This window comes from Homo sapiens, chromosome 2 (genome assembly GCF_000001405.40).
Source record: "Homo sapiens chromosome 2, GRCh38.p14 Primary Assembly".
In the NCBI taxonomy this organism is placed as follows: domain Eukaryota; kingdom Metazoa; phylum Chordata; class Mammalia; order Primates; family Hominidae; genus Homo; species Homo sapiens.
In genome coordinates, this window is record NC_000002.12 from 61,466,844 (window position 1) to 61,484,622 (window position 17,779).

At 45.5% G+C, this 17,779-nt stretch overlaps 2 protein-coding genes and 1 long non-coding RNA gene across 26 annotated transcripts in view, besides 5 other annotated features; 1 reads left to right on the plus strand and 2 right to left on the minus strand.

Annotated features, from left to right (window-relative positions):
• The window catches only part of USP34 (ubiquitin specific peptidase 34), a 283,625-nt gene extending 279,381 nt beyond the window's left edge, over positions 1-4,244 (minus strand). Inside the window, exon 1 of the mRNA NM_014709.4 lies at positions 3,807-4,244. Within this exon, the coding sequence (NP_055524.3) occupies positions 3,807-3,849 (43 nt within the window). The 5' untranslated portion in view covers positions 3,850-4,244. The remainder of the gene's footprint in view (positions 1-3,806) is intronic.
• Positions 23-522: an enhancer, noted in NCBI's record as "H3K27ac hESC enhancer chr2:61694001-61694500 (GRCh37/hg19 assembly coordinates)". NCBI's record gives its function as "activates a minimal SCP1, AML or CMV promoter by ChIP-STARR-seq in primed H9 embryonic stem cells {active_cell/tissue: H9 hESC(primed)}" and the evidence as "EXISTENCE:reporter gene assay evidence [ECO:0000049][PMID:30033119]".
• Positions 3,566-3,985: a silencer, noted in NCBI's record as "silent region_11527". NCBI's record gives its function as "represses an Ori minimal core promoter by ATAC-STARR-seq in GM12878 lymphoblastoid cells {active_cell/tissue: GM12878}" and the evidence as "EXISTENCE:reporter gene assay evidence [ECO:0000049][PMID:35858748]".
• Positions 4,076-4,155: a silencer, noted in NCBI's record as "silent region_11528". NCBI's record gives its function as "represses an Ori minimal core promoter by ATAC-STARR-seq in GM12878 lymphoblastoid cells {active_cell/tissue: GM12878}" and the evidence as "EXISTENCE:reporter gene assay evidence [ECO:0000049][PMID:35858748]".
• Positions 4,186-4,495: a silencer, noted in NCBI's record as "silent region_11529". NCBI's record gives its function as "represses an Ori minimal core promoter by ATAC-STARR-seq in GM12878 lymphoblastoid cells {active_cell/tissue: GM12878}" and the evidence as "EXISTENCE:reporter gene assay evidence [ECO:0000049][PMID:35858748]".
• Positions 4,253-17,098, plus strand: USP34-DT (USP34 divergent transcript). Its single transcript, NR_185882.1, has 3 exons — positions 4,253-4,536; positions 13,482-13,740; positions 15,784-17,098. It is a non-coding gene; the product is annotated as a USP34 divergent transcript (long non-coding RNA).
• The window catches only part of XPO1 (exportin 1), a 60,764-nt gene continuing 53,990 nt past the window's right edge, over positions 11,006-17,779 (minus strand). For all 24 annotated transcript variants that reach the window (XM_047445764.1, XM_011533097.2, XM_047445771.1 and 21 more), the window contains 5 exons: positions 17,094-17,262; positions 16,114-16,248; positions 15,537-15,696; positions 14,342-14,438; positions 11,006-12,123 (listed from right to left, as the gene is read on the minus strand). In XM_047445764.1, the coding sequence (XP_047301720.1) occupies positions 11,977-12,123; positions 14,342-14,438; positions 15,537-15,696; positions 16,114-16,248; positions 17,094-17,262 (708 nt within the window). In that variant the 3' untranslated portion in view covers positions 11,006-11,976. The remainder of the gene's footprint in view (positions 12,124-14,341; positions 14,439-15,536; positions 15,697-16,113; positions 16,249-17,093; positions 17,263-17,779) is intronic.
• Positions 11,337-11,537: a silencer, noted in NCBI's record as "peak3716 fragment used in MPRA reporter construct". NCBI's record gives its function as "represses an SCP1 promoter by STARR-seq MPRAs in K562 erythroleukemia cells {active_cell/tissue: K562}" and the evidence as "EXISTENCE:reporter gene assay evidence [ECO:0000049][PMID:32103011]".

The following is a 17,779-nucleotide window of genomic DNA, read 5'->3' on the forward strand; positions in this document are numbered from 1 at the left end:
GGAGGTTGCAGCTAGCCGACACTGCATTCCAGCCTGGGTGAGAGTTAGACTCCGTGTCAAAAAAAAAAAAAAAAATTTATTACACTCGTTTGCCCAGGTAGCCTTCTCTAAGTGTGATCACTGTTTGTTAATTTCACAAGAAACAGTGTTTTTGGTTTGTTTTTTCAAGACAGCAGTCTTGGCCAGGCGCGGTGGCTCACGCCTGTAATCCTAGCATTTTGGGAGACGGAAGCGGGTAGATCACACGGTAAGGAGTTCAGACCAGCCTGGCCAATATGGTGAAACCCCGTTTCTACTAAAAATACAAAAATTAGCTGGGCATGGTGACGTGTGCCTGTAATCCCAGCCACTTGGGAGGCTGAGGCAGGAGAATTGCTGAACCCAGGGAGGCAGAGGTTGTAGTGAGCCGAAACCGTGCCACTGCACTCCAGCCTGGGTGACACAGCGAGATTCTGTCTCCAAATAAAAAATAAAAAAATAATAATAATAAAAAAAGCAGTCTTACTATGTTGCCCACGCTGGTCTCGAACTCCTGGCCTCAAACAATCCTCCTGCCTCAGCCTCCTGCCGAGGCGGGATTACAGGGGCGCACCACCACGTCTGACTGTTTTGTGAGGTTGCTTTAATACTAATTACGTATTTTTCAGCATGACCTGGAAACACACCACCCAAAAATATGCACAATTTTATTGCTTCTCTCAGCTGGCTAAACTGTTACAGGGTGTCGTATTTAAAGATGAATTCTGAGCACATTTTGGGAGGACTGTAACTTTGTTTTTTTTTTTTTTTTTTTTGAGATGGAGTCTTGTTCTGTGGCCGAGGCTGGAGTGCAGTGGCATGATCTCGGCTCACTGCAACCTCCGCCTACCAGGGTTCAAGCAATTCTCCTGCCTCAGCCTCCCAAGTAGCTGGGACTACAGATGCCTACACCACCACACCCGGCTAATTGGTGAATTTTTAGTAGAGATGGGGTTTCACCATATTGGCCAGGCTGGTCTCGAGCTCCTGACCTTGTGATCCGCCCACCTCGGCCTCCCAAAGTGTTGGGAATACAGGCGTGAGCTGTATTCAGAGTTGCCCGGCCAACTCTGAATTTCTAAATCAACGTTGAACTGATGCTCATCTTTGTACAAGGTACAGGCGGGAAAAGGGCAGACTTTATAGGTAATTACTGCAAATGAGATCACAAGAAACACATATAATCTACTTCAACAAGTTTTATCAAGCTCCAACCACTCATGTTCATTATCATGCTCCATCATAGCCACGGATAAGCAAAGAACTACAGAAAAAAAAACAACTTTTAATAGTGTGGTATAAACTACACATGTAATTGTTGAAGTAAAAAAAATGTTTTTTGAGACAAAGTTTCGCTCTTGTTGCCCAGGCTGGAGTGCAATGGCACAATCTCGGCTCACTGCAACCTCCGCCTCCGGGTTCAAGCAATTCTCCTGGTCAGCCTCCCCAGTAGCTGGGATTACAAGCATGTGCCACCACGCTCAGCTAATTTTGTATTTTGAGTAGAGACGGGGTTTCTCCATGTTAGTCAGGCTGGTCTTGAACTCCCAACCTCAGGTGATCCGCCAACCTTGGCCTCGCAAAGTGTTGGGATTACAGGCGTGAGCCACTGCGCCTGGCCGTAAATTTTTTTAAAAAGGAAGCATCACTGTGAGATTATTGTTTAAGAGTTAAACTTTTAAATTGAGCCTCAAAGGCAATATTAAGAAACTAAGTATTTTTAGAGTCCACTGGCTTACACACAAATAGAAAATCCTTACTTGTTCATTAGAACAGGTTTCTTAGAGGGTGCACATGACCAGATTTTGAGAAGCTGGTTGAACTAACTGTATTTGCTTAAAGGTAATAAAAGCTAAATTCTATTTCAATTCTCCACATTTCTAACACTCCATAAATGCACTGCATTTTTCAGTGCTTCTAACCAAAGTTCTAGGGGTTTCCCAGATAATCTTAAATAAGACCTTTCATTATGATCAAGATGCCACCTCTTTTCAAAAGATAAACCAACTTTACTTTCTTTAGATGTTTTGTTTAAAATTTTCCAAGTTTAAGATATTTTAAAATCAGCCAGGCGCAGTGGCTCACGCCTGTAATCCCAGCACTTTGGGAGGCCGAGGCAGGCGGATCACAAGGTCAGGAGCTCAAGACCAGCCTGACCAACATGGTGAAACCCCGTCTCTACCAAAAATACAAAAATCAGCCGGGCATGGTGTGGGGAACCTACATTTCCAGCTACTTGGGAGGCTGAGGCAGGAGAATCGCTTGAACCTGGGAGGCAGAGTTTGCAGTGAGCCGAGATCATGCCATTGCCCTCCAGCTTGGGCAACAAGAGCAAAACTCTGTCTCAAGAAAAAAAAAAGATATTTAAAATCACCAACAAAATTAAGTACTTGTTCCTCATATTACATTGCAAAACGATTAACTTTCCAAGTTGAGCGTAACAATCATAATCACACGACTTGTATGTGAGATATAAAACACAGTAAGTATTGAGGATTTAAGTTTATCATATCGTAAACCGCCTGCGCCAGAAATAAAAGTATCTCAAAATACACACAAATAATCTTAAAATTCTAGGATAATTTAGGGTGACACAAATACTGGAACCTCTAGTTGGAATATGTGCAAAAGCCTATTCCACCTATCAGGAAGTAAATACGGAGTTGAAATTAAGTTAGAACCCTTCCACTTTTATTATTGTCTTTGGTCATTAAAGTGACAGTCAAACACAAATACCATGGTACATTTTATAAATCAACTGTTTTAGCGAATTGTATTACAAAATTAGATAGTCTGAAAGTCTGTGGAAATATCACAAACAGAATACAAATCCAAAACCCACATAAACTGTTCATAAGTGAGCATTTTTTCAACAATCAACTTTTTGTAAATTGATCCCTTCATCTAATTCACCTCTGCCAACTAGGCCTTTACGCCCAGAAGTAGTTGATTTGCAATATATCTTCTATAAGCTGAAATACCATCTTGCAAGGGTCGAGAATAAAATAAAAAGGCCAGAAAAGATCAACGTACCCTTTTTAATAATAAAAAGTAAAGTACCAGGTAAAAGGCCTTTCCTTCCAAGAGAGATAGGCCATAACTATCCCGGGATGGTATGTGTAGTACAGTGCTCTGCTTAACAGAATGTACCATTAAAGCGGTGAATGCTACACTAAGAAACATCATTAACAAATTTATTTTAAAAATAGGTATGAAGGTTCCAATCATCACTATCACAGTTCGTTTTCAGCTATTTAAGGTCTGGCTGAAGTGTTTAAGACACCCACAAACCCGCAAGGGAGGGAAAAACCACCACCCTGCTCCCGGGAGTTTAATGAAAATTAGCAGGTAAGAGAGGCCTCGGCAGCACGCTGGAAATCAAAGAGGGCGGCCGGAGGATTTGGACTGCGGAGGAAAGCCTCGTCCTCCGACCCCACCTCCCCGCACCTTCCCGGCAGGGCGAAGGAGGCGAAGGCGGCGAGGGGTTCATTACTGCCTTCATTAATTGACACCTGTAATGAGGAAACTTTCCGAGAGCCCAGAGCGCCCGGGCCAGGCCGAGCCGGAGCTCCGCGGCGGCCGCCTCTCGGGCGCCCAGGTAACCCGGCCGGGCTGGGCCCGAGGCGCCGCGGCGGCCGCGCCACCGCGCACCTTCCCGGGGCGCTAGGCCCGCACGCCGCCCGGCCCGGCCGTCGCCTCCCGCAGGCCGCGGCAGCCCGGGGAGGCCAGAGAGCTGCGCGAGGACCCCAAACCGTGCACCCCGACAGGCCGCTACCGCGGCTACTTACTTTCATTTAACACCTCCACCAGGTCTGCGCAGTTCTCGCACATCGTTCGGCCGCCGCCCCCCCCCTCCCCCGCTTCGGATCACACTGACTGATCCCGACCGGCGGGGGGGAGGGGAGAGAGGCGGAGGAGGGGGCCGGCCGGCCGGCGGGGCGGGGAGGCGACTAGGGCGGGCGGCGGCGGGGACGGGGCGGGGAGCAAGAGAATGGGGGAGGGGGCCGGCGGTCCCCGCAGCGGGAGGGGGAGAGGAGGGGAGCGAGGGGAGGTGCGCAGGCCGGAGGGGCGCCGAGGCGCCGGCGGCGGGGAAGGGGGGGAAGGACGGGGGGAGGGGAGAGGGGGGGAGGGGGCGGGTGGGGAGAGAAGCAGCAGAGTCACTTCACCGACCAGACGCCGCGGCCACCGCCGACGCCGCCGCCATTTTAACAGAGCGCTCGGGCTGCGCTCGGCTCTTTCCGCCCGGGCTTAGGAGCGGACGAGAGGCGCCTCGCGCTCTCATTCCTCCGCCTCCCTCCCTTTCTCGCCTCTCCTCCGCCCCCCACCTCTCCCTCCGCACACACGCCGCACGCTCCACACCCCGCCGTGGCCGGCTCGCCGCCCTCCCTTTCCTCTTCCGTCCGGCCTCCCCGCCCTCGGTCCACCCCCTCCGCGCGCTCGCCCACCCCGCCCAGCCCGGATCTCTGTCAGCGGCCGGAAGGGAAACGCGAAGCCAGCGCGGCCGCGGGGGGAGTCCGGGTGAGTAGGAGAAGATGGCGGAGGCAACGGACGGGTCGCGGTTGCGTGGCGTCGCCCACCACGACCCACTCCACGGGCTCTGAGGCCCGGGGAGCGCCAGGTCACTCGCTCCGTCCTGTCCCCCGCCCCTGGGCTTCGCCATTTTTCCCCAGGGCCTGGGTCGGGGAGTTGGTGCGGGTTTCTTTGGTGTCCCCGGCCTCTTCCGCGCTTAGGCTTTTGGGGTACGGGAAGCAAGGAGTCAACTTGGGTGCCGGGCCGGGTCTACGCCGTAGCCCTCTTTCGGGCGCAAGGGCCACTCCCCCCGGGGTCTGAGAGTGAATCAGCCCAGGGCCCGGCTTAACTGCATCGGTGATTATCGCTACCCTGCAGTTCCTTGAAGGTCCTCCGTCCTGGAGCAGTAAGATCCTTGACGTAACTAGAAATGGCAGGGTAAGGAGTGTTTGCCTGACATCGTCTCGTTTTTACGGAAGAGGGCCCCTCACGATGTGCCCATCAGCCCCACCTGAAATAGCAAGAAATCTTCTTCAGCAGAGAGCGAATAACAAGGATATTAAGATAAAGAACAGGTGAAGGGGGCAGTCAGCTGAAGCTTGTAAGGGAATTTTCCTCACGCCGGCACTTACCCCTTGCTTGCTAATTTTTGTGTTCAACGTGTTTACATAGACATGTGACTGCAAAGTCCGAAAGATCGTGTACAGAATCTCTGAACGGTAACCAGAGTGTCTGTCAAGGCTCTGTAGTCATTCTCTCGATAGCTTTTGTGGAGGTTATGGCACGCCCATCTCTCCATGCCAGAACCACCTGGTTCCAAATGCTTTGCCTTTCTGCTGCTTGAAGTTGATACTATAAACAGTCTGCCCAACCCGTTTTGTTTCCCACTAGCAGGTGATCCTTAGGATTGTAGTTCTATTCTACCATCATCTTCCCTTCTTCCTTGTCTTTCTCACAGAATTGGGTTTTTGCAGACTTACTTTGGATCCTGAGGCAGACATTCGTTGTCCACTCAACATACATTCCCACGTATCCCTTTTTTCCCTGCCAACACAACCCCAATTATTTTTATTTGAATTTTTTTTTTTTGAGACAAAGTCTCACTCTGTCGCCAAGGTTAGAGTGCAGTGGTGCGATCACAGTTCACTACAGCCTCCACTTTATGGGCTCAAGGGATCCTCCCACTTCCCTAGTAGCTGGGGCTACAGGCGCTCTCCACCACACGTAACTAATTGTTTTTTATTTTTAGTAGGGACAGGGTCTTGCTATGTTACCCAGGCTGGTCTCAAACTCCTGGCCTCAACTGATCCTCCGGCCCAAAATGTTAGGATTACAGGTATGAGCCAACGTGCTGGTCTCACGTTTTTTCAGGTAGCAGTTGAAACCAACCATCATGGTGATCTGGCTTTTCTAGGGCTGGCCATACATAATTGAGTTCCTCCTGATAAAAGGTAAGCAACAATCCTGAGAAACATAGTGGGAGCCCTGTGTCTACAAAAATTTAAAAGGTGGCTGGGCGCGTTGGCTCACTCCTGAAATCCCGCACTTAGGGAGGCTGAGGTGAGCAAATCACCTGAGGTCGGGAGCTCTAGACCGGCCTGACCAACATGGACAAAGCTCATCTCTGCTAAAAATACAAAATTAGGCATGGTGGTGCATGCCTGTAATCCCAGCTACTCAGGAGGCTGAGGCAGGAGAATCGCTTGAACCCGGGAGGCAGGGGTTGCGGTGAGCCGAGATCGCGCCATTGCACTCCAGCCTGGGATAAGAGTGAAACTCCGTCTCATAAAAAAAAAAAAAAAAAAAGGCCAGGCATGGTGGTTCATGCCTGTAATCCCAGCGCTTTGGGAGGCCGAGGCGAGAAGATCACTAAATCAGGAGATTGAGACCATCCTGGCTAACACGGTGAAACCCCGTCTCTACTAAAAATACAAAAAATTAGCCAGGCATGGTGGTGGGCGCCTGTAGTCCCAGCTACTTGGGAGGCTGAGGCAGGAGAATGGCATGAACCCAGGGAGCAAAGCTTGCAGTGAGCTGAGATCGCGCCACTGCACTCCAGCCTGGGCGACACAGCAAGACTCCGTCTCAAAAAAAAAAAAAAAAAATTACCTGGTCGTGGTGGCTCACGACTATAATCATAGTACTTTGAGAGTCCAAGGCAGATGGATTGCTTGAGCCTGGGAGTTCTACATCAACCTGGGCAACATGGCAAAAGTCCATCTCCAGTACATAAGAAAATTAGTGGAATGTGGTGGTGCACACCTGTAATCCCAGCTACTGGGGAGGCTGAGGTGGGAGGATCACTAGAGCCCAGGAGATTGAGACTGCAGTGAGCTGTGGTCATACCACTGCAGTCTAGCCTGGGTGACAGAGTGAGACCCTCTCTGGAAAAAAAAAGAAATGTAAGCAGAAATCTGCAGGATGGGTTCTTTGGGAAGAATTCCCAAAAGAATTCCTAATACGATGAGGGACAAATTCAGCTAACATACCATTTAACCCTTTCTGCCTGAAACATGGTCTTGATGCACAAAGTAATACCCATCTTGTAATTTTTTTAACAATGAAAACTTTTACCCCATTTGCGATTTCATTGTTTAAAAAATTTGATTAAACAGGCCGGGCACAGTGGCTCACGCCTGTAATCCCAACACTTTGGGAGGCTGAGGCAGGTGGATCACCTGAGGTCAGAGTTCAAGACCAGCCTTACCTACATGCTGAAACCCCATCTCTTCTAAAAATATAAAAAATGAGCCGGGTGTGGTGGCGGGCACTTTGTAATCCCAGCTACTCGGGAGGCTGAGGCTGGAGAATTGCTTGAACCCGGGGGTGGAGGTTGCAGTGAGCCGAGATTCTGCCATTGCACTCCAGCCTGGGCAACAAGAGCAAAAAAAATTCCATCTCGAAAAAAAATGATAAAACAGAATCATAAAGTGTGGATCCCTGATGCATCTTTGAACAACAGTCTATGCTCAGACTGCTTATGTGAGAAAAATAAAATGTATTTTTCTTGGCTGGGCATGGTGGCCTACACCTGTATTCCCAGAACTTTGAGAGGCTAAGGAGGGCAGATCACTTGAGGACAGGAGTTAGAGACCGGCCTGGCCAACGTAATGAAACCCATCTCTACTAAAAATACAAAAATTAGGCTGGGCGCAATGGCTCACGCCTGTACTCCCAGCACTTTGGGAGGGGGAGGTGGGCAGAACACAAGGTCAGGAGTTCAAGACCAGCCTGGCCAACGTAGTGAAGCCTCGTCTCTACTAAAAATACAAAAATTAGCCGGGTTTGATGGCGCATGCCTATAGTCCCAACTACTTGGGAGGCTGAGGCAAGAGAATTGCTTGAACCCAGGAGGCAGAAGTTGCAGTGAGCCAAGATCGCACCAGTGCACTCCAGCCTCGGCGACAGAGCAAGACTCCGTCTCAAAAAAAAAAAAAAGCCGGTTGTGGTGGAGGGCACCTGTAATCCCAGCCACTCAGAAGGCTGAGGCAGGAGAATCCCTTGAACCCGGGAGGCAGAGGTTGCAGTGAGCTGCAGTTGCCACTGCACTCCAGCCTGGATGACAGAGCAAGACTCCTCAAAAAAGTTCTTTTTCTTTAAGCCATTCTTCAGATTTTCGTTACTTGTAACCAAACACATTTCTAACTACTGATTACAGATACTCTTTTTTTTTTTTTTTTTTTTTTTTGAGTCTCGCTTTTTTTGCCCAGGCTGGAGTGCAGTGGAGTGATCTCCGCTCACTGCCAGCTCCGCCTCCCGGGTTCAGGCCATTCTCCTGCCTCAGCCTCCTGAGTAGCTGGGACTACAGGTGCCACCACCACACCTGTCTACTTTTTTGTATTTTTAGTAGAGATGGGGTTTCTCCATGTTGGTCAGGCTGGTCTCGAACTCCCACCCTCAGGTGATCCGCCCGCCTCGGCCTCCTAAAGTGCTGTGATTACAGGCGTGAGCCACCGCGCCCGGCCAAGTGTGTATAACTGTTGATCAACATTTTGAAGACCAGTTATGACAGTTAAATTATTTGCCACAACTCAAATGAACAGCAGAGCACTTTATCACAAACTAACATTCACCCTGGAATGTACTGTACAGTCAACCTATTCTGTCTCCTTCCATCTCTCCATTCCTATGCCTTTCATCTTTTTATTTTATTTTAATTTTTTTTTGAGATGGAGTCTTGCTCTGCTGCCCAGGGTGGAGTGCAGTGGCGCAATCTCGGCTCACTGCAAGCTCTGCCTCCTGGGTTCAAGCGATTCACCTGCCTCAGCCTCCTAAATAGCTGGGATTACAGATGTGTGCCATCACATTGGGCTAATATTTATATTTTTAGTAGAGACAGGGATCTTACTATGTTGCCCAGGCTGTTCTTGAACTCGGTCTCAAGTGATCCACCCACCTCAGCCTCCCAAAGTGATGGGATTACAGGTATGAGCCACCAGCCCTGGCCTAAATTTAAAAAAAAGGGTATTCCTATGTTGCCCAGACTGGTCTCGAACTCCTGAGCTCCAGCAATCCTCCCACCTGCCAAAGTGCTAGGATTACAGTTGAGCCACTGCACCCCACAGAGATCTCACTGTGTTGCCCAGGCTGCAGTGCAGTGACAATTCATAGGCCCAGCATGCTTTGAACGGCATGCTTTGAGGTGATCCTCCTGCCTCAGCCTCCCAAGTAGCTGGGACTACAGGCATATTCCACCACTTTCCTGGCTCAAGGAATCCTCCTGCCTCAGCCTCCTGGGTAGCTGGGAGGACAAGTGTGTGTCACCACACCTGGACAACTGGGGGTGTATTTGTATCTTATGGGATGGATATTTGGTGATTTGTTATGAGCAAATTGATACCCTTCTGTTTGTGGAGATTCTCTTGAATCCTTTTTTCCATACACTCCATTTTCTTCTGTTTGGAACTCATGTTTACTTATGGAGTGGTCCTCAAATTTTTAAAAGTTTATATTTTGCATCTTTTTCTCTTTTCCCTCTATTTTTGGGAGATTTAAATTTCTTTTTTTTTCTTTTTGAGGAGTCTCGCTGTCGCCCAGGCTGGAGTGCAGTGGCGCCGTCTCAGCTCACTGCAAGCTCCGCCTCCCGGGTTCACGCCATTCTCCTGCGTCAGCCTCCCAAGTAGCTGGGACTACAGGTGCCCACCACCATGCCCGGCTAATTTCTTTGTATTTTTAGTAGAGACAGGGTTTCACAGTGTTAGCCAGGATGGTCTCCATCTCCTGACCTCGTGATCCGCCCGCCTTGGCCTCCCAAAGCGCTGGGATTACACACGTGAGCCACCGCACCTGCCTCTGCAACTCATTTTTTATTTCTGCTATTCTCTAATTTCCAAAATTCTGTTCTCTTGATATACCTTTACTGTGGTATTGTTTTTCTTGGTTGCAGAAAGCTCTCAACTTTTCTAAGGGTACTGGTGATTGATATTTTTGTTTACTTTTGCCTGTGCAGTCTGTTTTCAACTTGCCCGTTTCCATTTTAAAATTCATATTGAGACTGCCCTTAGATGTCTGATAATCCTTAGTTGTCCATTTACACACCCATTATATAAAATGTATAGGGAAGGCCAGGCACGGTGGCTCACGCCTATAATCCCAGCACTTTGGGAGGCTGAGGTGGGTGGATCACCTGAGGTCAGGAGTTTGAGACCAGCCTGTCTAAACATGGCAAAACCCCATCTTTAGTAAAAGCACAAACAGCTGGTTGCGTTGATGCGTGCCTGCAGCCCCAGCTTCTCTGGAGGCTGAGGCTGGAGAATCGCTTGAATCCGGGAGGCGGAGGTAGTAGTGAGCCGAGATCACGCCACTGCACTCCAGCCTGAGCAACAGAGCAAGATTCTATCACCCCCACCCCCCACCCCGCAAAAAAAAAAATCAATCTATATCTGAGAGAGAGTGTCTCACTCTGGCTGGAGTGCAGTGGCACAATCTCAGCTCACAGCAACCTCTCCTTCCCAAATTCAAGAGATTCTCCTGGCTCAGCCTCCCAAGCAGCTGGAACTACAGGCACGTGCCACCACACTTGGCTAATTTTTGTATTTTTTTGTAGAGACAGGGTTTCACTGTGTTGGCCAGGCAGGTCTGGGACTCTTGGCCTCAAGTGATCCGCCCACCTTGGCCTCCCAAAGGGCAGGGATTACAGGTGTGAGCTACCAAGCCTGGCTCCACTCACCCTTTTGAGAAGGCTCATGGCTACTTAGTTTACTTACATTTTTTAAGAATACAATTAGTATTTGTACCAGGTTACATCTGTGTTCTCATTCCAAGGCTAATGTTTATTCTTTGTTACATTTAGATGCTAAGTAGAGTTAGACAAGAAGTGCCCTCTAATCCCAAATAAAGGTAAAATGAGTCAAAATGCCACAGGAGGAATTTGTTTCTTGAGAACAAAAGGTATCTTAGGAACATGTTCATTTTACACAACTGCTGCATTTACTAGGAACAATAACCTTAGAAATCTTGTTTGTAAATCAAGGGGTCCAACTTCATTTAAAATGTTACTTGATGCTTAAACACAAATACCCACTATCATTAATATAGGAATAAATGAGTCAATAAAGGAAAAATAAATGTAAACCAAGTTTATTTTGCTTTTTAAGTAGTGTTCTTAAAGCACTACAGCTTGGTAAACAATGTAAATTAGTATAAGTCATCTCAAAAGCCAGAGTTGTTTTGTTTTTTAATGAGTTGTTAAAAAGATGCAGCCTATTCTAACAGGATAAATATTTTTAACCATTTCACTTCGAGTTAATGAAGGCTCACAAATGAGCAACACTCCTCATTGAGGAAAACAAAAAGCTGTTGTCGACAAGCGACAGCACACACACACAAAAACAAAAAGAACTGTGTAAAAATAACTAACTGTGTTCCCATATTTTTGAAGTCGCTTTACAATGGGATGATATGCACATGATCTTGCTGCAATCTTGCCAAAGAGACTTTGTAATACATGTAGTCTAGACAAACGATTCAGTCCAAGAGGTGCTAACTTCAGACAATGCAGCACTATAATCCTTTAAACAACGCAATTTGTTTTACTCATTATCTTTTCTTCTAGGCTGAAATAGACTAGAAGGAAAATGCTCCCTAATTAAAAATTGGTATTGTTTACAGGAAAAATTGTATAATTTTGCATTAGAATTACAAGTATATGTTCAAATCGAATTTGCCTCCTCCCCCCAGCCCAGCCACAAAAATGGGCATGAAGTAAAATTTTTAAAAATGCCTTAATTTTCAACTTCATGCAAACTAAATAAAGATGACCAAAACAAAAGCTTAAACAATGGAAGGATATTTCACAGAAAATTTCTTATACAAAAAAACACATAAGAAAAAGGGCCACTAGGTGACATTTTAATTTACAAATTGGCATCATTTTGGTCGACAAATACCCACATGCTGTTTTCCTCTGCTAACGAGTTGCAGAGAAAAAAAACAGCATGAATTTGGATTTTAATCACACATTTCTTCTGGAATCTCATGTGGATTAAAGATGCCAGGGACAGACATTTGACGTTTATGTTTCTCTTCATCAGCCTGCCGTAGGGCTATTTCTCTCTCTTCCAAAAACAAATCAGAAGTGTCTTCACCTGCAAATTCCTGTGAAAACAGATAGTTGAAATGTCAACGCAATAAACTTCAACTTGCAAAGAAAGAAATCATAGATGAGCAATTTCCTTTTTAGAGAAGGAAGGAATATAAATTATCCATAAAGTGGCTGGGTTTTAAATTATAGGATAGTGACACAGTATACTACATAGCTGAATGAACTGCAAACCTGTTAACTGGTGGGGGGGAAGATTACAAAAGAATCATGGGCCCCGGCATGGTGGCTCACGCCTGTAATCCCAACTTTGGGAGGCAGAGACGGGAAGAATACTTGATGTCAGGAGACCACCCTGGCCAACATGGTGAAACCCTGTCATTACTAAAATTAGCCATGCATGGTGGCACAGGCGCCTGTAATCCCAGCTACTTGGGAGGCTGAGGCAGGAGAATCACTTGAACCTGCATGGCGGAGGTTGCAGTGAGCCAAGATCACGCCACTGCTCTCCAGCCTGGGTGATAAAAGCGAGACTGTGCCCCCCCAAAAAAAACAAAAAAAATGGTGTGATACCTTACAGTAAATAGTCTTCAATGTGATTATTATGCATTGTATGCTTCTACCGAAGTATCTCATGCATCCCATCCCCTAAGTATATACACCTACTATGTATTCACACAAATTTTGTTCTCTTTGTGATAGAGTCTTGTTCTGTAGCCCCAGCACATTATCTCAACCTCTTCCTCCAAGATGCAAGCAATTCTCCTGCCTCAGCCTCCCCAGCAGCTGGGATTACAGGCACCACCACATCTGGCTCATTTTTTGTATTTTTACTAGAGACGTAGTTTCACCATGTTGCCCAGGCTGATCTCAAACTCCCAAGCTCAGACAATCCACCTGTCTCGGCCTCCCAAAGTGCTAGGATTACAGGCATGAGCCACTGCACCCAGACACTTTTTTCTCTTTTCTTTTGAGAGGCAGTCTTGCTCTGTCGCCCAGGCTGGCGTGCAGTGTTATGATCTCAGCTCACTGAAACCTCTGCCTCCTGGGTTCAAGTGATTCTCCTGCCTCTGCCTCCCGAGTAGCTGGGACTACAGGCACCTGCCACCAGACCTGGCTAATTTTTGTATTTTTAGTAGAGATGAGGTTTCACCATGTTGGCCGGGCTGATCCTGAACTCCTGACCTCAACTGATCTGTCTGCCTCGGCCTCCCAAAGTGCTGGGATTACAGGTGTGAGCCACTGTGCCCAGCTAAAAATTCTTCATATGCCAAGATACCAAGAAAGATGTTTCTCCTAAGGCTAATTAATAACTGTCATTAAATTAAGTTTAGTTATATTATCATTGACTTCGTAGCTATCAGTTAACTTTTTTTTTTTTTTTTTGAGATGAAGTTTCACTCTTGTCACCCAGGTTGGAGTGCAATGACGTGATCTCGGCTCACCGCAACCTTTGCCTCGTGGGTTCAAGCAATTCTCTTGCCTCAGCCTCTCAAGTAGCTGCGAATACAGCTGTGCGCCACCACGCCTGGCTAATTTTTGTATTATTAGTAGAGACGGGGGTTTCACCATGTTGGCCGTGCTAGTCTCAAACTCCCGACATCAGGTGACCCACCCACCTTGGCCTCCCAAAGTGCTGGGATTACAGGCATGAGCAACTGCGCCCAGCCTAGGTAACTTTCATTAGTTTTTTAAAAATTGGCTAATATTTTTACAGTAAAAAAAAAAAACCTTTGTATTTTGGAGAAAATATTTAAGAGCTAAGAGACTAATTCTTATTCAACAATCATGGATAAACTATTCATCAACTACTTAGGGTTTCACAGTACTTCCAAATTTCTTTAAAGCAAGATGTTCAAAGAAAAACCCTTCCCAAAAGTATGAATAAAGCACTGTATAACAGCAGAAGAAAGACATTCTATCTAGTAACTTTCACAAGTTCCCTCAACTAACAAAATTGGTATAAAATTATAAAAAGAACTACCAACGTTTTTCTTACCCAATATTCCATTATACATTTAAGACTACCTAAAATGAATTACATTAGTAATAAGTTTATCCGAATAACATCTCAAACATATCTATCCTTATTGGACTTTAGTTTTTCACTGTATTACCAGTCTCAGGTTTTTTGATTACAGAGATTGTGTAAACGTATTATCTTGAAACCCCATTTATTTGGCATGACAAATCAAGTGATAAAAATTCTACAATGTAACATAAAAGTGGTCACATCTACCCCTAATATTTCTGCAAGAGCAAATAAATACATACCTTTATTTGAACTAGGAAATCTCTTAAATGTTCCTTGAAAGCAGGAATATCTTGATTTAAGCTGAAAAGCCCTGTCACAAAGAGCTTTACTTGAGCACTGCAAATCAAAACACAATGATTAAATAATGATTTATTTTTCCCCCGAGACAGAGTATTGCTCTGTCACCAGGCTGGAGTACAGTGGCATGATCTCTGCTCACTGTAATCTCTGCCTCCCGGGTTCAAGACATTCTCCTGCCTCAGCGTCCCAATAATGTTTTTTTTTTTTAATCAAGAATTTTTTTTTAATTTTTGAGACAAAGTTTTGCTCGTTTACCAGGTTGGAGTACAATCGCACAATCGCGGCTCACCGCAACCTCTGAAGCTATTCTCCTGCCTCAGCCTCCCAAGTAGCTGGGATTACAGGCATGCACCACCATGCCCGGCTAATTTGTATTTTTAGTAGAGACAGGGTTTCTCCATGTTGGTCAGGCAAATCTCAAACTCCTGACCTCAGGTAATCTGCCCGCCTAGGCCTCCCAAAGTGCTTGGATTACAGGCGTTTGCCACCGTGCCCAGCCTTTTTATTTTTTGAGACAGTCTTGCTCTGTCACCCACACTGGAGTGCAGTGGCACAATCTCGGCTCACTGCAACCTCTGCCTCCTGGGTTCAAGCAGTTCTCCCCCTCAGCCTCCCAAGTAGCTGGGATTTCAGGCACCCACCACCATGCCCAACTAATTTTTTGTATTTTTAGTAGAAACGGGGTTTCACCATCTTGGCCAGGCTGGTCTTGAACTCCTGACCTTGTGATTCACCCACCTCAGCCTCCCAAAGTGTTGGGATTACAGTCATGAGCCACCGTGCGTGGCCTTTTTTTTTTTTTTTTTTTTTTTGCTTTTTTAAAGAGGCAGGGTCTCACTCTATCACCCAGGCTGGTGTACAGTGGTGCGATCATAGCTCACTGCAGTCTTAAACTCCAGGATGCAAACAACCCTCTCGCCTCAGCCTCTCCAACAGCTGGTCCTACAGATGCATACCACTTCTGACTACTTTTTTTTTTGTAGAGACGGGATCTTGTTTTGTTGTCTAGGTTGGTCTCCAACTTTTGGGCCCAAGCAATCCTCCCACCTTAGGCTTCCCAAAGTGCTGGGATTACAGGTGTGAGCCACTGTGCCCGACCAGGAACATTCTACGTTTATTAAAAGGTATATTTACTCTTGTAGGTGAGGGAAGGCCGACTTAAGGAGATTAGCCACATATTCCTGAAGAAAGATTTGGTTGTTAACTGGATTTCCAGGATTTAATGATGTACTTATTTTTCCTTCTTCAACCAAATTAAACATATATGCAAGAATTGATGCATGCATTGTTAAACCTGTTGATAAGAAGAAAATTATTAACTCCAAAATGTAATATAACTATAGATCTTAGCGTTTTTTTTTGTTTTGTTTTTTTTTTTTAGACGGAGTCTCGCTCTGTCACCCAAGCTGGAATGCCGTGGCGCAATCTTAGTTCACTGCAACCTCTGCCTCCTCGGTCCAAGCCATTCTCCTGCCTCAGCCTCCCGAATAGGTGGGATTGCAATCACATGCCACCATGCCCAGTATTTTTATTGTATCTTTTATTTTTTTATGGTATTTTTAGTACAGACAGTTTCACCATGGTGGCCAGGCTGTTCTCGAACTCCTGACCTCATAATCTCCCCGCCTCGACCTCCCAAAGTGCTGGGATTATAGGCGTGAGGCCCTGTGCCCAGCTGGCACTTAACATTTAAATCGTATTAAATTCTTACCAGCAGTATGTGAAGTGTCTGTCACAACAGAAAAGATATGCTGGAGAATATCACAAAAATAAGTTTGATAAAAACTCTGAGCTGCAGCTTCTTCTTGTGCAACATTTTGTAAGAGTGTAAAAAGTATCTGTAAGCCTAAAAGACATAGAATACCAATGGAAAGTTACTACAGACTGACAGCACTCATGATAGTATTTAGCTCTTATCAAAGTATTCTGAATCTAACCCTGTTCTCCCTTTTTTTTGGGATGATGACTAATAATTACTTGCATAAGGTTTCTTAAATTAATAATGGAATACAACTATATCCAATGCTGGCTTACTTATAAATTATAATAAGTTGTGTGAGAGCTAAACTGTGAAGATGTAAAGGCATAAAGATCATATAATGGACTTTGGGGACTTGTGGGGAAGGGCAGGAGTGGGTGAGGGATAAGACTACACATAAGGTGGAGTTCATACACATGAGGGATAAGACTACACATAAAGTAGAGTTCATACTGCTCACATGACAGGTGCACCAAAATCTCAGAAATCACCACTGAAGAACTTATTCATGTAACCAAAAACCACCTGTTCCCCAAAAACTATTGAAATAAAAAAAGAACCTCATGAATATTTTTTAAAAGCCTATGGGAAAAAAATTACAATCTAAGTTATGACTATTACCACCCTTTCACCATTTCTGAAAGCTCAGCTGATTCTATATGAACTTCTACAACATCACTACCCAGTAGAACTTTGTATTACGCAAACCAATTATTACTAGGCCGCTCTCCCCATAACTCAATTCTGCCTATGGACTCACTTGGAGTGGAGTGGAACAGTTGATTAAACTGCTTATAGGATTTTCTCAGATGTTCATATATGTAATTCACACACTCAAAACTCTGAACAAGTAATACCTTCCTATGTACAATTAACTATATTTGTATTTTTGGATTGGCAGGCAAATGAATAAAAGAACATCTTTTATTTACCCGTATCTGCGACATTCCTCATAGTATGTTTGAAAGCCCAAATGATGGAATCCAAAACAAGTTTAAACTGTGTAGGTGGAATAGCAAGGAATGCTGGGAAACAATGAGAATTGACAGCCTGAAGTAGTAAGAAAAAGTTCGTTCTATGTTCAGGATATTCTTCAAAGTCCTAAAAATAAGTGGTGGAAACAAAATAATGTTTCAGTGTCTTTGTTGTGCTAGACAGGAGGGGAAAAGCAAGGCTTAATCCAGTATAAATATTTGGAGTTTTCAATAAACCACAGAAGATAGAATGCCTCCTGAAAGGTAAACCCAAGTAAAATACAATCCACCTCTCACGGAAAATGAAACTGTCCCGTTACGCACATGAGTTATCAAATTGAAGGAGAAAGACAACCTTTTTAATAGAGAACTCATCTAAACCATTATTACCATAAGACTACTACTATCACTTTTGTTTTTAATTTGAAATCACCACTACAGATTACAAAAAAATTTAAGTTACCGTGTAAATGTGTCCACTTAACGTATCTTTTATCTCTTTTTTCTTTTTAAACAGTCTCACTCTGTCACCCAGGCTGTAGTGCAGTGGCGCAATCTCAGCTGACTGCAACCTCCGCCTCCTGGGTTCAAGAGATTCTCCTGCCTCAGCCTCCCGAGTAGCTGGGACTACAGGCATGCGGCAC